The 20022-nt window shown below is 41.6% G+C and overlaps 1 protein-coding gene and 1 pseudogene across 56 annotated transcripts in view, besides 2 other annotated features; one reads left to right on the top strand and one right to left on the bottom strand.

The window, feature by feature from the left end:
- The window catches only part of SPIDR (scaffold protein involved in DNA repair), a 475429-nt gene that overhangs the window by 215142 nt on the left and 240265 nt on the right, over window positions 1–20022 (bottom strand). The gene's annotated exons all lie outside the window — the stretch shown is intronic.
- Window positions 7542–7621: an enhancer, noted in NCBI's record as "active region_27327". NCBI's record gives its function as "activates an Ori minimal core promoter by ATAC-STARR-seq in GM12878 lymphoblastoid cells {active_cell/tissue: GM12878}" and the evidence as "EXISTENCE:reporter gene assay evidence [ECO:0000049][PMID:35858748]".
- Window positions 8335–9236: an enhancer, noted in NCBI's record as "H3K27ac-H3K4me1 hESC enhancer chr8:48424491-48425392 (GRCh37/hg19 assembly coordinates)". NCBI's record gives its function as "activates a minimal SCP1, AML or CMV promoter by ChIP-STARR-seq in primed H9 embryonic stem cells {active_cell/tissue: H9 hESC(primed)}" and the evidence as "EXISTENCE:reporter gene assay evidence [ECO:0000049][PMID:30033119]".
- On the top strand, window positions 9001–10389 carry LOC100420054 (NSFL1 cofactor pseudogene; annotated as a pseudogene).

The raw sequence follows: 20022 nt of genomic DNA, 5'->3' as shown, positions 1-20022 counted from the left end.
AGGAAGGGTTCAGAGGCATACATGGATCCCATCCAATCTTTGTGACGTATCACCCCATTCTTCGGAGCCTCTCTATTGACAGACGTCTTGGATCCAACATTCATTCTCAAAATGGTACACATGCATTTTCCTCTAAAGAAGTGAAGTCTTTTTACTATTCTTCAGAGCAAGGCCATGTCTATACTTACATTGATGCCATATGGAGCAGCAGGACGATGTCATGCTGGACCCATAAAGGGAAGGTCACAGTTCTGGAGCCATATCCCTGGAAAAGTCTTTGAGCCTCATCCAGTTTGTTAAGATTTTCTCAGGGCCATCAGCAAACCCTACTTTCATCTACAGATCATAGGATGGCAAGATGGGGTTCTTTTGGGAAGTCATGTCCAGTGTCACACAGCTTTGTGATCCACTGGTGGTGGGAATTCAGCAAGTTATTTAACCTTGATGACTTCAGTTTCCCCATCTGCAAATTTACAGTAATACCTCCCTTCCATTTGTGTTAAGGATGAAAAGAAATAGCCTACACAAAGCATTAAATACAGTTAGCTTCTTTTTTGAAAGGAATAAGTTAAGAATTTTCATGCCACTTCCAGCACACGGTCTTGTGCTGCCAAAGATTAGACTGAAAGGGGTGGGAATTGGCTCTGGGGCTGAGAGAGAAAAATATTCATGGTACAAAGATTCTCAAGGCTAGATTTTTAAATGAACAAACTACTCTTTAGCCAGACTTCTGGGAGCTTGCTTGATACAAGCATAAAATTAAACAATTCAACTTTTGTTCAATTCATATCAGACACTCAACATATACCAGTTTCAAAAGGAAGAAAAAAGATGAATGGAACAGGTCCCTCTCATCTATGGGGCTTACACACGTTCAACTGATCATTAACAAGCTGGGGGATCATTTAATGAGCCAGCTGATCAATGCAGGAATGTATACAGAGCTTATAAAATATTTGCCTCTCTGTGTTACAAGAGGCGTGTCCCTAAAATTCCTGTTTATAAGTTTTCAGGAAAACTAAAGATAACTAAGTGGGAATCAAATAACAGATACTCCATATTCAAATACAACTATATTATCTATAGTCAAGTTCAGGCTATAAGATTATTGGTAGCTAACCCCTTTCCTCCCACAGGATTCAGGATGAATTTGTGCTATACCAATTGGTATAAGGGCTTAATATAATGACGAGAGGTAGAATTTTAAAATCTGTCACACTCTATGCTCATTGACTAATTCGGTTGTCTTTGATCATATACCTTGTTTAAAAATTTTTAAAGATCATGTCTCCAATCAAGCATATGTATTTATAAATTAATCTTTTTATTTTTTTTGGAAACTTGTTATAACATATAATCAAAGTATCTTTTTTGTTTGTTGAGGCAGGGTCTTGCTCTGTTACTTAGGCTAGAGTGCAGTGGTGCCATCACAGCTCAGTGCAGCCTTGACCTCCTGGACTAAAACAATCCTGCCACCTCAGCTTCCCAAGTAGTCGGGACTGCAGGCCTGTGCCACCATGCCTGGCTAATTTAAATTTTTTTTTACTACAGACAGGGTCTCGCCATATTGCCCAGACTAGTTCTGAACTCCCAGTCTCAAGTGATCTTCCCTCCTTACTTTGGATTCCCAAAAGTGTTCGGATTACAGGCGTGAGCCACTGCGCTTGACCAAAGCCATCTTTTAAAAAACTTTGTTATGGGGCTTAAAAGAACACATGGTGGCCAGGCACAGTGACTCACTTCTGTAATCCCTGCATTTTGGGAGACTGAGGTAGGTGTGTCACCTGAGGTCAGGAGTTTGAGACCAACCTGGCTAACATGATGAAACCCCGCCTCTACTAAAAAGACAAAAATTAGTTGGGCATGGTGGCATGCGCCTGTAATCCCAGCTACTCAGGAGGCTGATGCAGGAGAATTGCTTGAACCCAGGAGGCAGAGGTTACAGTGAGCTGAGATCGCGCCACTGCATTCCAGCCTGGGCAACAAGAGCGAAACTCTGTCTCCAAAACAACAACAACAACAACAACAACAACAACAACAAAACACATAGCCAGGTCAGAGAACTGTCCACTCTATCATTTTCTTGATCATATGTACTTGGCATTATTAAATTATTTCCAACCTATAGTTCTTTACAGGAATCTTAGAGCTTGGCTTTCAAAGGTTTCACCAATTATTCACATTTCTTCATTTTGCTAACGTAAGACTTTAAAAGTAGCATAAGACTTGAGGCCAGGCACGGTGGATCACGCCTGTAATCCCAGCACTTTGGGAGGCCAAGGCGGGCGGATCACAAGGTCAGTAGACCGAGACCATCCTGGCTAACACAGTGAAACCCTGTCTTTACTAAAAATACAAAAACTAGCCAGGCGTGGTGGCAGGCGCCTGTAGTTCCAGCTACTTGGGAGGCTGAGGCAGGAGAATGGCGTGAACTCGGGAGGCAGAGCTTGCAGTGAGCCGAGATTGCGCCACTGCATTCCAGCCTGGGCGACAGAGCAAGACTCCGTCTCAAAAAAAAAAAAAAAAGTAGCAGAAGACTTCAGTGATATAACAACATGCCCTATCACCCCAGTTCTAGCGAGTGGCTGTCACTAGATGTGAGGCTCTGGTGTGAGTGTGCTCCTGCTTCCCAATGCCTTCAGCACAGCGTCTAGACACATAATGGGACCACCATAACATTTCTTGGTCAAATAAAGAGAAAAGCATCATAAATCAAATAAAAATATTTGTTCCAAATATTCAAAAAGGAAATGCTGTAAACATTTGTACACTTCTAACAGAGATAATTAGGTGAAGCCCAAGGCAAAATACTTACCATTCCAAGAATGTTGTAGCCAATTAAATGGAGCAGCAGGTTCTATAATTTAATTTCTATTAATAAGTTCCTGAATATAATAATAAGCACATCACAAGAATACACCTGAACTTTTAGGATGCCTGCATGTCTAGCATGAGGTGAAAGTGGAACTAACAAAGTGCCTGGCTGCTGTGCCAGACCAATGTATCTATGAATTGCCACCAATGCACTCTTTCACATGGAGAATATCTGTGAATACTCACTGAATAGCCTACAATTACTTTAAATATTTTTTAAAAGTATTAACAACCTTAGAATTTAAAGTAAAAACTCCAACTACAGAATGTATATTAGCTTAACGAAAGAGATTAGAATGAAAAAGAAAAGCTATAACACAATGAAATAGAATACAGAGGCAAGAACTCTTATGATGTATAGGAATATAATATACAATAGGAGAAGCATTTAAAATCAGTGAGGGAAAATTATTCAGAAAGTAGTGCTGATAAAATTGTTTGAAAAGTAATTAAAATTAATCTCTACCCTCAAATGATACATCAAAATAAATTTCAGATGGATTAAAGAGTTAAATACGAATAATGAAACCACGAAAATTAGCAAATTTTTCATTGATTTCATGATTACAAGATGTTCTCACTGTGAATAATTTCACAAATTTCTTTTCAAATTATTTAGTGCCTACATACTATTGATAGCTTTAGGTTAAAAGTATGTTTTTTTCTGAGAAAACTACAATCAGGATAGATGAACATAATCATTTTGGATACCTAATGAATTTGACACAAATATATCAACAGAATATTGTGTAGACAGACTAGCTAATGAGGGAGAAGCCCACTCTTTTCTGAGCCCTCAGGGATCAGCAGCCTCAGGGACATCTGTGGCCATGGATATGCACCTCATATCAAGCACCCAGTGTCTGTGGGCATGGGGAGGGTTGGTATTAGAGTATAAAGGATTGATGAGGAACTCTCTGTATCTTAGTAGCAGACTTTTATTTTGCAAGTAATAGTAATAATTATTTTTTTAAGTGGGGGTATTTCAGAATTTAAAGGTGTATCTGCCAGGCACGGTGGCTCACACCTGTCATCCTAGAACTTTGGGAGGTCGAGACGGGTTGATCACTTGAGGTCAGAAGTTCAAGACTAGCCTGGCCAACTTGGGGAAAATCTGTCACTATTAAAAATGCAAAAAATTAGCTGGGCGTGGTGGCAGGTTCCTGTAATCCCAGCTACTTGGGAGGCTGAGGCAGGAGAATTGCTTGAACCTGGGAGGCAGAGGTTGCAGTGAGCCGAGATCGTGCCACTGTACTCCAGCCTGGGCGACAAGTCATTAGGGAAATGCAAATCAAAACCACAATTAAATACCACTTCACACCCATTAGAATGGCAATTATCAAAAAAAGAAAATAACAAGTGTTGGTGAGAATGTGGAGAAACTGAAACTCCCATGCATTGCTGGTAGGAATATAAAATGATGCAACCTCTGTGGAAAACAATATGGTAGTTCCTTAAGAAGTCAAACCATAAAATCCAGCAATTCCACTCCTAGATCTATAGCCGAAAAAAAATTGAGAGCAGAAACTAAGCAGATACTTGTATACTTATGTTCACAGAAGCATTATTCACACAGTAGTCAAGAAGTGAAAACAAACCTAATATTTCACAGGATGAACAGATGAATGGATAAAAAAAATGTGGCATATACATACAATAGAATATTATTCAGCCTTAAAAAAGGAAGGAAATTCTGACACATAACGTGGATGAACTTTGAAAACATTATGCTAAGTAAAATAAGCCAGACACAAAATAACAAATATTGTATGATTCCACTTAAGAGTTACCTAGAATAGGTAACTTCAAACAGGCAGAAAGTAGAATAGAGGTTGCTAGGGACTTGTGGGGAGAAGGAGTTAGTGTTTAGTAGGCACCAGAGTTCATGCCGGGGATGATGAAAAAGTTCTGGAAATGAAGAGCGGTGTTGGTTGCACCACATTATGATTGTAGTTAATACCACTGAAAATACATCTAAAAATGGTTAAAATGGTAATTTTTATGTTATGCATATTTTACCACAATTTTTTTTAAAAGCATTTCATGAGGCTGGGTATGATGGTTCATGCCTGCAATCCCAGCACTTTGGGAGGCCGAGCCAAAGAACTAACTACTTGAGCCCAGACATTCAAGACCAGCCTGGGCAACGAAGGCAGACTTTGTGTCTTAAAAAGCAGACACTGGCCGGGCGCAGTGGCTCACGCCTGTAATCCCAGCACTTCGGGAGGCCGAGGCGGGCGGATCACGAGGTCAGGAGATCGAGACCATCCTGGCTAATACGGTGAAACCCTGTATCTACTAAAAATACAAAAAATTAGGCTGGTGTGGTGGTGAGCGCCTGTAGTCCCAGCTACTCAGGAGGCTGAGGCAGGAGAATCGCTTGAACCCGGGAGTGGAGGTTGCAGTGAGCCAAGATCACACCACTGCACTCCAGCCTGGGTGACAGAGCGAGACTCCGTCTCAAAAAGGAAAAAAAGGCATTTCATGGACTGTATGTGTATACACACAAAAGCTTACAGAGGAAATGTATTTCTGCCTCAAGGAAGAGCAATTTCATTTATTCAGTCAACAAATGGATTAAATATCTATACGCTTATGAGATCTGCATAGAAAAACAGGTCAGACAATTTAGACCTAGAATTTCATACAGTACTGGGAATGAGAGACAAAATACAATAAAGTCCTGTAAGTGCTATTATAGAGCCATATATGTCACTATTCTGGTCCTAAGATTTGTAGATTAGCCTCCCAAGGGGATTGGGACACTTCCCAAGGATCCTTGGGGACAGTGGCAGGCCTTAATTATACCCCACCTTCATCACTTTCAGTCTTTTCTATACCAGAGGACATCAAAGCTCAGGACAACCACATAACAGTATTCAGTTGATTCTCAAGACAGAATTATCAGGCAGATGTTGACAAGGTTCTTCTTTGCTAAGTGTTTGGAGAACACACACTTAAAAAAGCAGAGAACAATCCCTCATATTTTGAACTATGAGCTTAATTCTGTAAGTAATTCCTCATAAGCACCAAAATAGGTCACTGGTTTCTTTAGCAGAAGATCTTTTAGCAGAAGAAACTGGCAGATAGAAAATTTAAGTAATGGGCTATTGTCAGAAAGCACACTAGAATCAGTTGAAGGCTAGTGGGGGTCAGATGTGGAGGTTAAGCCTCCACAGCACAGTGTGGCCCAGCCTCCCATTTCCATCCCCTACCCTGCCCTGGGACCTCTGTTCAAAAGGAGGACATATGCTCTTCCTTTTGCTGAACTTTAAAGAAAACAGGAAATCGTGTTTAAAATAATTTCTATGATTTTGTGAATCCTTATGATTAACAAATAGCCATTCAAATTCCTCAGAAATGATGAAAAATATAAACCTCAGAAACATAAGGGTAGAATGAATGTCTTTGAAAAGCATAGCCTTTTACAGCCTTTGAAAGCAGTCAGAGGTGCTTGTGAAACCATGTGTGCTGTTTTGGGTGTTGGCCTCAAAGCACATACAAATATAACTTGTAGTATATTGTTTATTTGTTTTTCCTTTTCAGATATCTTAATATCAGTCACCTAAATACTTATATTTCCCTTATCTCCCTCATCATATTCTGATTTCTATTTTTTATGTCTCTCCTAACATTGCCTATTCAAATTACTTTCAATCAGTAACTCTGACAGCCTCAGAATCACATCCAAAAAACCACTTCCACAGACTTTAGCACAGATTTGAGCATACCCCTCTTTTATGCCTCACTGTTTCTTTAGATTTCTACCATAGTAACTGAAAAGTAACACTATACATATTTCTGTAGACACATCCCCTGCAGTGGGCTCCCAGCGCCTCCCTCCCCTCAAACAGGTAACAAGGAGCACATTTTCCTTTTCTCCATGTCATCAGCACCAACACAGAGCAGTGAGTGCATGTTTGTAGAATTGATAGACAAGTGCATTTGGGATATATTAACTTTATGAGACCAGGGATGAGTTTAGGTGATGAGTTTTTGTTTTAGAAATCCCTGTACCAAACCCAATCTAGCAGTCATTTCTATACCAAATGAATGAAAAAAACCTCAATCAGTAACTTCAGAGTCAGACAATTTAACGAATGTAAAATATACAGGACACAAGCAGGCATATTAAAGGCAACAAATGCTAGTTTTTCTCTGTACTCCTGTCAGCTAATACTTAAATTGTTATTATTAGATTCACGGACTTTTGATCAGATACAAAAGGTGCAATGCCATGGACCTTTTTCTGCAGCACTCTCCTGAATGCAAGTACTATGTGACTTTCACATTATAGAACCCATGGTGAGTCACCAACCACAGCCCAAGAAGGCACATGGTTCACCTGTGGGCAAGAGGCAGAGAGAACAACAGTAGGGTGACTATAGCAAAAACAACCTGTTTTCCAAATTCTAATAATAGACTGTAGGAAAACACACATTTAGACACACCTCTAACCCTAGAACTTGTAGCCATTTTAAAGCTATTAACATAGATCCCATGCCAAGCAATAGTCTCTCCTCCTCCCTCACCCTTATATCTAAAAATAAAATGAAACATTACAGCCACATATTTTGCTTGCCTCAGCCAATAGCTCAAAAAACCCCCTCAAGTCCTACTGTTGCTGGATCAGTCCACTGTATACTATGAGTCAGCACTTCTCCAGATTTCTGGAAATTCCTCACCAGCAACATGACCTACAAGAGGAAGCCAACTTTCCATTTCAATGTATAACAGGAAGTATTCAAACAGATTTCACCTAAACTGGAGAACTGTTGTTAATGTAACTGCTGTTATATCAAAATGAGTCCAAATCTACTGAAAGACATCAAGTTGTTTTTTTAAAAAGTATAACATTTTATTTTAAAATACAGACGTATAGATTGTAATTAGCTAAACCCGTATAGTGATTTTGAACAGAGGTACTTTAGTGGCTGGAAGACAAGAAAAACACAAACTTTTCAATTACTGTCTATTTTTCTATTACACATATTATTGCAGAGTTGTAAGACTTGGGCAAAACCTGTTTGTTAAGAATCTGTTTTGTTTTGAATATCTGGTTTGAGCAGTAATGTACAGAAATAACATTGGAAGTGTAAATATTTTGAGAAAAGACATTCTGCAGCAGATGCTAAAATAGAGTTTACCTCTCTCAATGATTGGCTTAAATTTGTTTGAACAGCACAAATTATGTTAATAGATTACAGAGATTTTATGTTTCAGAAGTGACCTTTCAGAATATTAACAGACCTTAAAACAGCCTGTAGATTAACTAGAGGGTTATTTCATCAGGGTCCTTGCTTTTACAGTCAGAAAGCTGCTTTCATAGTTAAAATGTCAACTACAAGAAGTCGTTTTTCCATAATTCTTACAGAGTTTCAAGACTTAAGTTCAGTAAAAAGCCAAATAGCTTAGTTATTACAGTCATTAATAAATTTATTTAACATTCGTGCCGCATCGGAATGCAAGACATCTGTTTCTAATTTCAATTTTGGCTCAGAATAAAAGTGCCTCCCCCGCAATACTTTGATTATAAACTGTCCTTTTCCTCCTCTCTTTTTTTCTTCTTTGGAAGCTGCTGTCCTTCATTCTTGCTGGAAGCCACCTGACCACTGCCAGGAAGAGGAATGCAAAACATTCCCAGGAGCAGCCGTGACGTCAGCGCCACATTCCACCTCTCCGTGGTCAGGGCTGTCGGGAAGCTCCAGCCTCCAGCAAAACCACTGGGAGAGATAGCAGCTGAGGCCTGCACTAAATCATATTATACTAAAACCTCCTTCATGTTATGCTCTAAAAATGCACAATGTCTTCCTCCCAAAACAGAGAGAGGGGGAACAGAGCTGGCTTTATAAGCCATATTTACTGTTTATCTTCAAAACACTTTTGGACTTGGGGGAGGAGAAAAACAAGTAAAAACTGATTAACAACAATCCTCAGTGGACCAATCACCATAGGCAACAGTGTGTAGACAGGGTGAGACGAACAACACAAGAGTTTGGGTTTCAGCTAGCACATCCCCCTCTATTAAACCATCCTCAACAACCCAGTCGCTAAGCTCCCTCTCAGGAGAAAGACAAAAGTCCCACTCAAGGATGCTTTAGAAATGATAAGAAAGTAGTGGATGTGGGGAGGCGCATGGGATGAAGACGGCAGCGGAGCAACAGAAGACGCTGAGAGAGTTCGTGGTGGTGATGGGCACTGAGCAGGACCGGGCCTGCTTCTTCCTCGAGTCGGCTACCTGGGACTTGCAGATTGCGCTAGCGAGCTTTTATGAGGACAGAGGGGAAGAAGACATCATAACCATTTCACAGGCAACCCCCAGTTCAGTGTCCAGAGGCACAGCCCCTAGTGATAATAGAGTGACATCCTTTAGAGATCTCACTCATGACCAAGATGAGGATGAGGAAGAGGAGGAAGGCCAGAGGTTTTATGCCGGGGCCTCAGAGAGAAGTGGACAGCAGATTGTTGGCCCTCCCAGAAAGAAAAGTTCCAATGAGCTGGTGGATGATCTCTTTAAAGGTGCCAAAGAGCATGGAGCTGTAGCTGTGGAGCGAGTGACCAACAGACCTGGAGAGACCAGTACACCAAGACCATTTGCCGGAGATGGCTATGGCCTTGGGGCAGCACCAGAGGAAGAGTCTGCTTATGTGGCAGGAGAAAAGAGACATCATTCCAACCAAGATGTTCATGTAGTACTGAAACTCTGCAAGAGTGGATTCAGCCTGGATAATGGAGGACTCAGAAGCTACTGAGACCCATCCGATGCCCAGTTTCTGGAGTCTATCCACAGAAGGGAGGTGCCAGCAGAGCTGTGGAGGCTAGCTCACAGTGGACAGGCGAACTTGGATATGGAGGAACATCAGGACGAGGACTTTATGAAGTCCAAATAAGCCTTCAAAGCCTTCACTGGCGAGGGTCAGACACCGAGCAGCACTGCCCCCTAGGTGTTGAGTACCATCTCTCCAGTCCAACTGGCAGAAAATGAAGCCAAAGCCAGCTCTTCCATCTTAATCGTCGAATCAGAGACTACCACAAACATCCAAATTCGGCTTGCAGACGGTGGGAGGCTGGTGCAGAAATTTAACCACAGCCACAGGATCAGCAACATCCAACTCTTCATTGTGGATGCCCGGCCAGCCATGGCTGCCACCAGCTTTATCCTCATGACTACTTTCCCAAACAAAGAGCTGGCTGACGAGAGCTGGACCCTGAAGGAAGCCAACCTGCTCAATGCTGCCATCATGCAGTGGTGAACCTAACTGCCCAGGCAGCTGCCTGGCCTCTCTCCTGTGTTTCTCACAGCCAGTGGCCATGCCCCATGGGGATCATCCCTCCTGCCCCCTTGTACACACCAGTAGTCCAGTGTGACATCTCCTCCACAGCTCTAGGTTCTTAGGTGTTGGTTGAACATTTGTTTTCTCCTTAGTTGTATTTCCTGGGTTTTTGTGATGATCAATGGACTTTAATGAAAAAAATAAAAATAACCAAAAACAAGTAGTGGATGTATTTTCACTAAAAAGAAATATTATATAGACATAGAAACTGAAGATTGTAATTATTGCAAAAAATTCCAAACATACACATAATTCTTATACAATTTTTCACTTGTAACTTCCTAGACTCTATCAACAATTCAACAAGTATATTTGTTAACTGTTTGTGCAACTACATTATACACAACATTTTGTTTTTTTTTTGCAAATACTCTACTGAATATTTCCCCATTCTATTTAATATATTATGATCTTTCATACTTTATGAAACTCTAAAACTGTAAAATAATTTTTGGGAGGGAGAGAAGAGTTCTATTGCAAAAAAAAATGCTTTATGCACATAATTTTTTTATGCTAAACAATTTCCTTGGAATAAACTTGCAGGCATGGACATCTAGATTAAGTATGCAATTTCTTTTGACATTTGCTACATATTGCTATGCTAATTTCCAAAAGAACTGTACTCAGTAAGACAATTACACATTTCAGCCTCCGCACTGTAACTCTGTCAGCATTTGTGTGTGCACACATAATTACACATAGAGTTGACACAGACATTTTGCCAAGATATTTTAATTTAACTTTTTTTGATTAATAATGAGACTGAAGATTCCTTCATGAGTTGGGTTTTGGGCAACTTCTGAGGTGAGAATTTTTAGGAAAAAAAACCCCCACATTGCAAGTAATGATTATAGCTGAAATCGAAATGCAGATTTTACCTTCATCCAAACAAAAAAAATTGCTGTATTTGAGTTTCTTAATAATACATGCTGTTTTTAGGAGCATCAACATTTGACATGACACAAATTGTAGTTTCTGGATAGGGAGTGTGTGTGGTGTACAGATGTGTGTTAAGTGTGTGTCGTGTGTGTGTGTGTGCATGTGTGTGGTATGTGCATAAGTGGTATGTGATGTGTGGTGTGTGTGTCACGTATGTGTGAGTGCATCATATTATACGCATGCACACATCCACGTGCCACCATGGTATTTGTGTTGTAACAAAAGAGGACAAGAAGTCAAGAGATATACGTTGTAGACCTAGTTCTGCCCCAGAAAAGTTAATTACCTTTTCTGAATTTCTTTCCTCATCTGTAAGAATCTAGTTTTACGAATACCATACAGTTATCTAAAGAGGAAGTAAGAAAATAAATGTGAAAGTAGGCTGAAAAGTTATGCGACTTGCTTTTTTGTCTGTTAGATGTTGTAATATGTTACTAGAGAAAGATATCCAAGGTATAAAACTGGGAGTTCATCACAGTTGCCAAAATGCCAGTCTATAAGTGGCACTCTCCTGGGCCCTAAAACCAAGTACCTTAAAACTTCTACCTTCTGCATAGTTTAACAGCCCCCTGTAATAGAAACTAGAATAGCTAGATGCCAGGAATGTCTTGATAAAATACAGATGTAGAAATATAGACTTAGGGGGATCTACCATGTCTCCTGCTTACCCACCTCGTAACTACACTCCCAAGAGGCTACAGACAGGAATTCCGGCCAGCATTGCAGATGCTGCCTCAAGGGCTTCCGGATTTCTACAAGAACAGGAATGGCTGAGGTAGCAGAGCTAAGTGTCCAGAGGCAAGAGGATCTGGCTAACATAACAAGCCGAAGGGCCAAAGTGTGTGTAAGCTAGCTGGGTATTTGGGAATGGACAGTTAATGAGAGGGTCTGTAGGGCCAGAGTAGTGGGAAAGCCTCAGACACTCTAATCTGATCTGTAGGCAGGTGACAGAGGCCTAGAGGGATCCAGCACGACAGCCTCAATAGCCGCTCTTCTCTCGTCCAACAGCCTCTCACTGAAGGAGTGGCTGGTCCTTTAAGAAAGAACACTTCCATTTTATATACATATATATATATAAAATGGAAGGACACTTCCATAATACATAATCATGTAACAAGTCTTTCTTCTACCCATTCCCAAAGGATGTGCAGCTACTTTTGAGGAGAAAAAGAAACAACCGGACTTCTCAGCACTTATTGGACATTCTCCCGGAGGACTCAACACCTCTGTGTCCTGATGGTGGGGTGGAAGCTGCGTGGGGGTCAGATACAAATGGAGACTGTGGTATTATTACCTGCCAGAACCTGGGTTTACAGATGGGATCTACACTTACACACAGGGAGAATTTCCACAGTTGTGTCTTGACCTATGCAGTGAGCATTGTTAGAATTCGAGGGGCTCAAGAAAAGCTTCTGAACTTCTCTTCCCTGCCACAATAGCAACCGAAAGCAACACGGCATCTTTTAGAGGAACTGCAAAAATTAATGCCACTGTCAAAGATTTGAAAGGTTCAGGGTGGTGACTCCTATCACATCTCTTTTTGTGTGTGCAGCCCTGTGCAGAAGACACATAGGTCTTTGAGAATGACAGTGGATTATACCAAACTTTATCAAGGAGAAACTCCAGTTAATCAAACTCAGTATATCAAGTCAATGCATTCCCTTATCTGGTGTGCAGCTACTGATATGACAAAAGTGGTATGTGTTTGCATGTACGTGTTTTCCTATCCCAATAGCAGGAAAACAGAAAGCTACTTGCTTTCACCATCTTGCCTGAGCACTGTGTCAATTCTGGTTCTGTGCCATAACTCAGTCTATAGGAACGTCAATCATCCTACCAGCCCACAAGACATGATGGCATCATGCTGATAGGATTTGTTAGTGAGAAGTAACAATACCTGAGAATAGCTTGTTAAGGCAAGTATTTGCAGGAGGGCAGAGAACACATTCCTCCAGTCTGCTCCCAGGGTAGCCTTTTGAGTACTACCTTGATCTATTTACTGAGTAACCCATAATTACTCAATCCAGTATTGAGTGGGCCAAGAAAAAGCCCTCCATATGGGCTAGGATGGAAGGCAAGCAACTCTGCCCTTGCTCATGTGGCCAATGAACTGGGATACTCGAAGTCAAAACAGAAGAGTGGGAAGTCCCAAGGTTTTGGGGTCACACAATACTCTATATAGCAAGTAACTATTTTCCTTTTGATACACACAGATTGGCTTAATACTGGCTCCTAGTGGAGAATGAACAGCTGACATTTCATGTTAGTTAACTGTGAAAACATGGCCATGGGACCCACATGAACTGGGTATTGGGGCTACAGAGAAGGACATGTCCAGGATACTGTGTCCTCAAGTAAAAGTCATATATATATAGCATATTTAGGTGTGAATAGCATCCAAAATTAAGTTCCGTCAACAAGAAGCTTATATTACTGATGTGCCTACTCTTGCATCCTGCCATCCTTCCCTCAGCCCCCCACCAGGGCTCATGGGAAAGTCTGCATGACCAGCTGTCTGAGGAGCTCGTATCCAGATGGAGCAACACGATATGAGCAGCTGAAATCGGCTGTTACAGCTTTGCAGCTTCCTTCACAGAAGGCCCTGACAGAGGAGCAGAGCTTCCCATGGCATGTCTTGGGTCCAGTCTGCCCAGAAGAGATGGCATGAGGTATCAATCACACTGATTCATGGGCAGCAGCAACTACTGAGCTAAACCATTGGGAAGACGCTTTATGGGCACATATCATGGACTATCTGACCCAACTGAAAGACAGCTTGCAGTACAAGCCTCTACTCACAAAGAATCAGAACTTACATTGACCAGCACAGACAAAGGAGGAAGAAGACTGAGGAGCTGGCAGCAGGTGGCTGGGAAGAGGCATATGGGTGGATTTCTTGAACCAGGAGTAAGACAGATACGGTGTCCATCTGAATGCTTACTGGAGAGAAGGCTCTCAAAAACCAGGTGGACATGATAAATCACCCTATGAATGCTTGTCTCACTCTCTCCACAGTAGCCCAGAGGTTGTTTAGTGGGCTCATTAGCAAAGTGACCACAGTGGTAGAAGTACAACATGGGCAGCCTCCCTGCACAGAGCTCAGCTATTTCCCAACACAGTGGAGTGTCAACTTGCTAGGAACAACAATCGATTTGGAGGGACCGCCTGCTACATAATAACCGGTTAATTACACTCAATCCCTTCTATCATGACAGGATACCATTTTATCCTCACTAGAAGATATGCCTACTCAGGTTTGGTTTTGTCTTCACTGTCTGCCAGTAACACTGCATATGTCCGTAAACCCACTAAGTAATACATTTGGATACTTTAGGGCATGTAGACCACAAAATGGGTAGTAACCACTTGTAGAAATGAGAAGTCTAATAATTATGCATACTTCTTCCTCTCTCGGTGTGGCAAGTATATATTTATGCATGTTAACTAATTTCCTTTCTCCATTTCCCCAGTTTTAGATAGGGTCTATTGGTGATATTAGCCTTGCAATTCATTCTATAGGTTACAGGATCCCAGAATTCTAAGACAGAACACTGCCTAAATTAGAGAAAGAAAGAACGATCACCCTGAGAACCTGCACTGGTGGAACCAACTGCAGAAACAAACGAGATTTTGGGACTGCCCTCTAGGTAGAGTGAGACCCTCATTATTTCTATACGGGAGAGCTGTATGATGGTGTAAATAAATTGTTGCTGCTGTTGTTTGGAAATGTAAGGGGGGTTTATGTTGACACAGAACACACAAACATGCAGCTGAAATAGCAGCATTTGTGCTGAACTGTCTAGTAGCTGCCCTCCTCCCTGTGTTACTTCCAGGTGGGTAGGAAGCAGCCAAACATGTTCTGCTTAGAAAGCCTCGCCTGGATTCTGTCATCTGCAACTGAGCTCTCAACTCTTGTAGCATTACAAGAAACAAAGGAGGTACTATACATGCAGAAATGGTTTGAGAAAGTATAGAAACATCTACAGAAGGCATAATTTTCCATTTTATAGTTTAAGATTCAGAAAATGATGAGTCAGAAGATACATTCAATGTGCCAGGAGGGCAATACTCAAAAATAATGGAATTACATACACTGAAATTATGCCCAAGATATAGGCTAAGTATACTTATGGTTGAGAAGTGACGGAAAAAAATTCACAAAAGGTAACGGTTCGGAGAGAGTGAACACTAATATCCTTAGTAGGGAAGCCCGGGTGGCACTGCTAGTGTTGTCACTAGATGACCACAGATCAGTGCAGTTGAAATGCTGCTGTACCGAATAGGAACAGCTCCAGTCTACAGCTCCCAGCGTGACCAACGCAGAAGACCGGGGATTTCTGCATTTCCAACTGAGGTATCGCACTGGGGAGTATCGGAAAGTGGGCGCAGCGGACCGAGCATGAGCCGAAGCAGGGCGAGGCACTGCCTCACCCGGGAAGCGCAAGGGGTCAGGGAATTCCCTTTCCTAGTCAAAGAAAGGGGTGACAGATGGCACCTGGAAAATTGGGTCACTCCCACCCTAATACTGCGCTTTTCCAATGGTCATAGCATATGGCACACCAGGAGATTATATCCCGCACATGGCTTGGAGGGTCCTATGCCCACAGAGCCCTGCTCATTGCTAGCACAGCAGTCTGAGATCAAGCTGCAAGGCGGCAGCGAGGCTTGGGGAGAGGCGCCCGCCATTGCTGAGGCTTGGGTAGGTAAACAAAGTGGCGGGGAAGCTCGAACTGGGTGGAGCCCACCGCAGCTCAAGGAGGCCTGCCTGCCTGCCTCTGTAGCCTCCACCTCTGGGGGCAGGACATAGCCAAACAAAAGACAGCAGAATCCTTTGCAGACTGAAATGTCCCTGTCTGACAGCCTTGAAGGGAGTAGTGGTTCTCCCAGCACTCAGATGGAGATCTGAGAATGGACAGACTGCCTCCTCAAGTGGGTCTCTGACCCCTGAGTAGCCTAACTGGGAGGCACCCTTCAGTAGGGGCAGACTGACACCTCACACGGCCGGGTACTCCGCTGAGACAAAACTTCCAGAGAAACGATCAGGCAGCAACATTTGCTGTTCACCAATATCAGCCACTCTGCAGCGTCTGCTGCTGATATCCAGGCAAACAGGGTCTGGAGTGGACCTCCGGCAAACTCCAACAGACCTGCAGCTGAGGGTCCTGACTGTTAGAAGGAAAACTAACAGAAAGGATATCCACTCCAAAACCCCATCTGTACGTCACTATCATCAAAGACACAAAGGTAGATAAAACCACAAAGATGGAGAAAAAACAGAGCAGAAAAACTGGAAACTCTAAAAATCAGAGTGCCTCTCCTCCTCCAAAGGAACACAGCTCCTCACCAGCAATGGAACAAAGCTGGACGGAGAATGACTTTGACGAGTTGAGAGAAGAAGGCTTCAGATGATCAAACTACTCCGAGCTAAAGGAGGAAGTTTGCACCCATGGCAAAGAAGTTAAAAACCTTGAAAAAAGATTAGACGAATGGCTAACTAGAATAACCAATGCAGAGAAGTCCTTAAAGGACCTCATGGAGCTGAAAACCAAGGCACGAGAACTATGTGACAAATGCACAAGCCTCAGTAGCCGATTCGATCAACTAGAAGAAAGGGTATCAGTGATAGAAGATCAAATGAATGAAATGAAGTGAGAAGAGAAGTTTAGAGAAAAAAGAAAAAAAAGAAACGAACAAAGCCTCCAAGAAATATGGGACTATGTGAAAAGACCAAATCTATGTCTGACTGGTGTACCTCAAAGTGACGAGGAGAATGGAACCAAGCTGGAAAACACTCTGCAGGATATTATCCAGGAGAACTTCCCCAATCTAGCAAGGCAGGCCAACATTCAAATTCAGGAAATACAGAGAACGCCACAAAGACACTCCTCGAGAAGAGCAACTCCAAGACACATAATTGTCAGATTCACCAAGGTTGAAATGGAGGAAAAAACGTTAACAGCACCCAGAGAGAAAGGTGAGGTTACCCACAAAGGGAAGCCCATCAGACTAACAGCTGGTCTCTCGGCAGAAACTCTACAAGCCAGAAGAGAGTGGGGGCCAATATTCAACATTCTTAAAGAAAAGAATTTTCAACCCAGAATTTCATATCCAGCCAAACTAAGCTTCATGAGTGAAGGAGAAATAAAATCCTTTACAGACAAACAAATGCTGAGAGATTTTGTCACCACCAGGCCTGCCCTAAAAGAGCTCCTGAAGGAAGCACTAAACATGGAAAGGAACAACCGGTACCAGCCACTGCAAAAACATGCCAAATTGTAAAGACTATAGATGGTAGGAAGAAAATGCATTAACTAATGAGCAAAATAACCACCTAACATCATAAAGACAGGATCAAATTCACACATAACAATATTAACCTTAAATGTGAATGGGCTAAATGCGCCAATTAAAAGACACAGACTGGCAAATTGGATAGAGTCGAGACCCATCAGTGTGCTGTATTGAGGAAACCCATCTCACGTGCAGAGACACACATAGGCTCAAAATAAACGGATGGAGGAAGATCTACCAAGCAAATGGAAAACAAAAAACGGCAGGGGTTGCAATCCTAGTGTCTGATAAAACAGACTTTAAACCAACAAAGATCAAAAGAGACAAAGAAGGCCATTACATAATGGTAAAGGGATCATTCAACAAGAAGAGCTAACTATCCTAAATATATATGCACCCAATACAGGAGCACCCAGACTCATAAAGCAAGTCCTTAGAGACCTACAGAGAGACTTAGACTCCCACACAGTAACAATGCGAGACTTTAACACCCCACTGTCAACATTAGATATATCAACGAGACAGAAAGTTAACAAGGATATTCAGGAATTGAACTCAGTTCTGCACCAAGCGGAACTAATAGGCATCTACAGAACTCTCCACCCAAAATCAACAGAATATACATTCTTTTCAGCACCACAACACACCTATTCCAAAACTGACCACATAGTTGGAAGTAAAGCACTCCTCAGCAAATGTAAAAGAAGAGAAATTATAACAAACTCTCTCTCAGACCACAGTGCAATCAAACTAGAACTCAGGATTAAGAAACTCACTCAAAACTGCTCAACTACATGGAAACTGCACAACGTGCTCCTGAATGACTACTGAGTACATAACGAAATGAAGGCTGAAATAAAGATGTTCTTTGAAACCAATGAGAACAAAGACACAACATACCAGAATCTCTGGGACATATTCAAAGCAGTGTGTAGAGGGAAATTTATAGCACTAAATGCCCATAAGAGAAAGCAGGAAAGATCTAAAATTGACACCCTAACATCAAAATTAAAAGAACTAGAGAAACAAGAGCAAACACATTCAAAAGCTAGCAGAAGGCAAGAAATAACTAAGATCAGAGCAGAACCGAAGGAAATAGAGACACGAAAAACCCTTCAAAAAATCAATGAATCCAGGAGCTGGGTTTTGAAAAGATCAACAAAATTCATAGACTGCTAGCAAGACTAATAAAGAAAAGAGAGAAGAATCAAATAGACGCAATAAAAAATGATAAAGGAGGTATCACCACCGATCCCACAGAAACACAAACTACCATCAGAGAATAATATAAACACCTCTACGCAAATAAACTAGAAAATCTAGAAGAAATGGATAAATTCCTGCACACATACACCCTCCCAAGACTAAACCAGGAAGAAGTTGAATCTCTGAATAGACCAATAACAGGCTCTGAAATTGAGGCAATAATTAATAGCTTACCAACCAAAAAAGCCCCGGACCAGATGGATTCACAGCCGAATTCTATCAGAGGTACAAGGAGGAGCTGGTACCATTCCTTCTGAAACTATTCCAATCAACAGAAAAAGAGGGAATCGTCCCTAACTCATTTTATGAGGCCAGCATCATCCTGATACCAAAGCCTGGCAGAGACACAACAAAAAAAGACAATTTTAGACCAATATCCTTGATGCACATCGACAGAATCCTCAATAAAATACTGGCAAACCGAATCCAGCATCACATCAAAAAACTTATCGACCATGATCAAGTGGGCTTCATCCCTGGGATGCAAGGCTGGTTCAACATACACAAATCAATAAACATAATCCAGCATATAAACAGAACCAATGACAAAAACCATATGATTATCTGAATAGAGGCAGAAAAGGCCTTTGACAAAATTCAACAACCCTTCATGCTAAAAACTCTCAATAAATTAGGTATTGATGGGACGTATCTCAAAATAATAAGAGCTATCTATGACAAACCCACAGCCAATATCATACTGAATGGGCAAAAACTGGAAGCATTCCCTTTGAAAACTCGCACAAGACAGGGATGCCCTCTCTCACCACTCCTATTCAACATGGTGTTGGAAGTTCTGGCCAGGGCAATCAGGCAGGAGAAAGAAATAAAGGGTATTCAATTAGGAAAAGAGGAAGTCAAATTGTCCCTGTTTGCAGATGACATGATTATATTTCTAGAAAACCCCATCATCTCAGCCCAAAATCTCCTTAAGCTGACAGGCAACTTCAGCAAAGTCTCAGGATACAAAATCAATGTGCAAAAATCACAAGCATTCTTATACACCAATAACAGACAAACAGAGAGCCAAATCATGAGTGAACTCCCATTCACAATTGCTTCAAAGAGAATAAAATACCTAGGAATCCAACTTACAAGGGATGTGAAGGACCTCTTCAAGGAGAACTACAAACCACTGCTCAATGAAATAAAAGAGGATACAAACAAACAGAAGAACATTCCATGCTCATGGATAGGAAGAATCAATATTGTGAAAATGGCCATGATGCCCAAGGTAATTTATAGATTCAATGCCATCCCCATCAAGCTACCAATGACTTTCTTCACAGAATTGGAAAAAACTACTTTAAAGTTCCTA

This window comes from Homo sapiens, chromosome 8, assembly GCF_000001405.40.
Source record: "Homo sapiens chromosome 8, GRCh38.p14 Primary Assembly".
NCBI classification, from domain to species: domain Eukaryota; kingdom Metazoa; phylum Chordata; class Mammalia; order Primates; family Hominidae; genus Homo; species Homo sapiens.
Note: the sequence above shows the minus strand (reverse complement) of the source record. Positions and strands in the feature narration are given on the sequence as shown.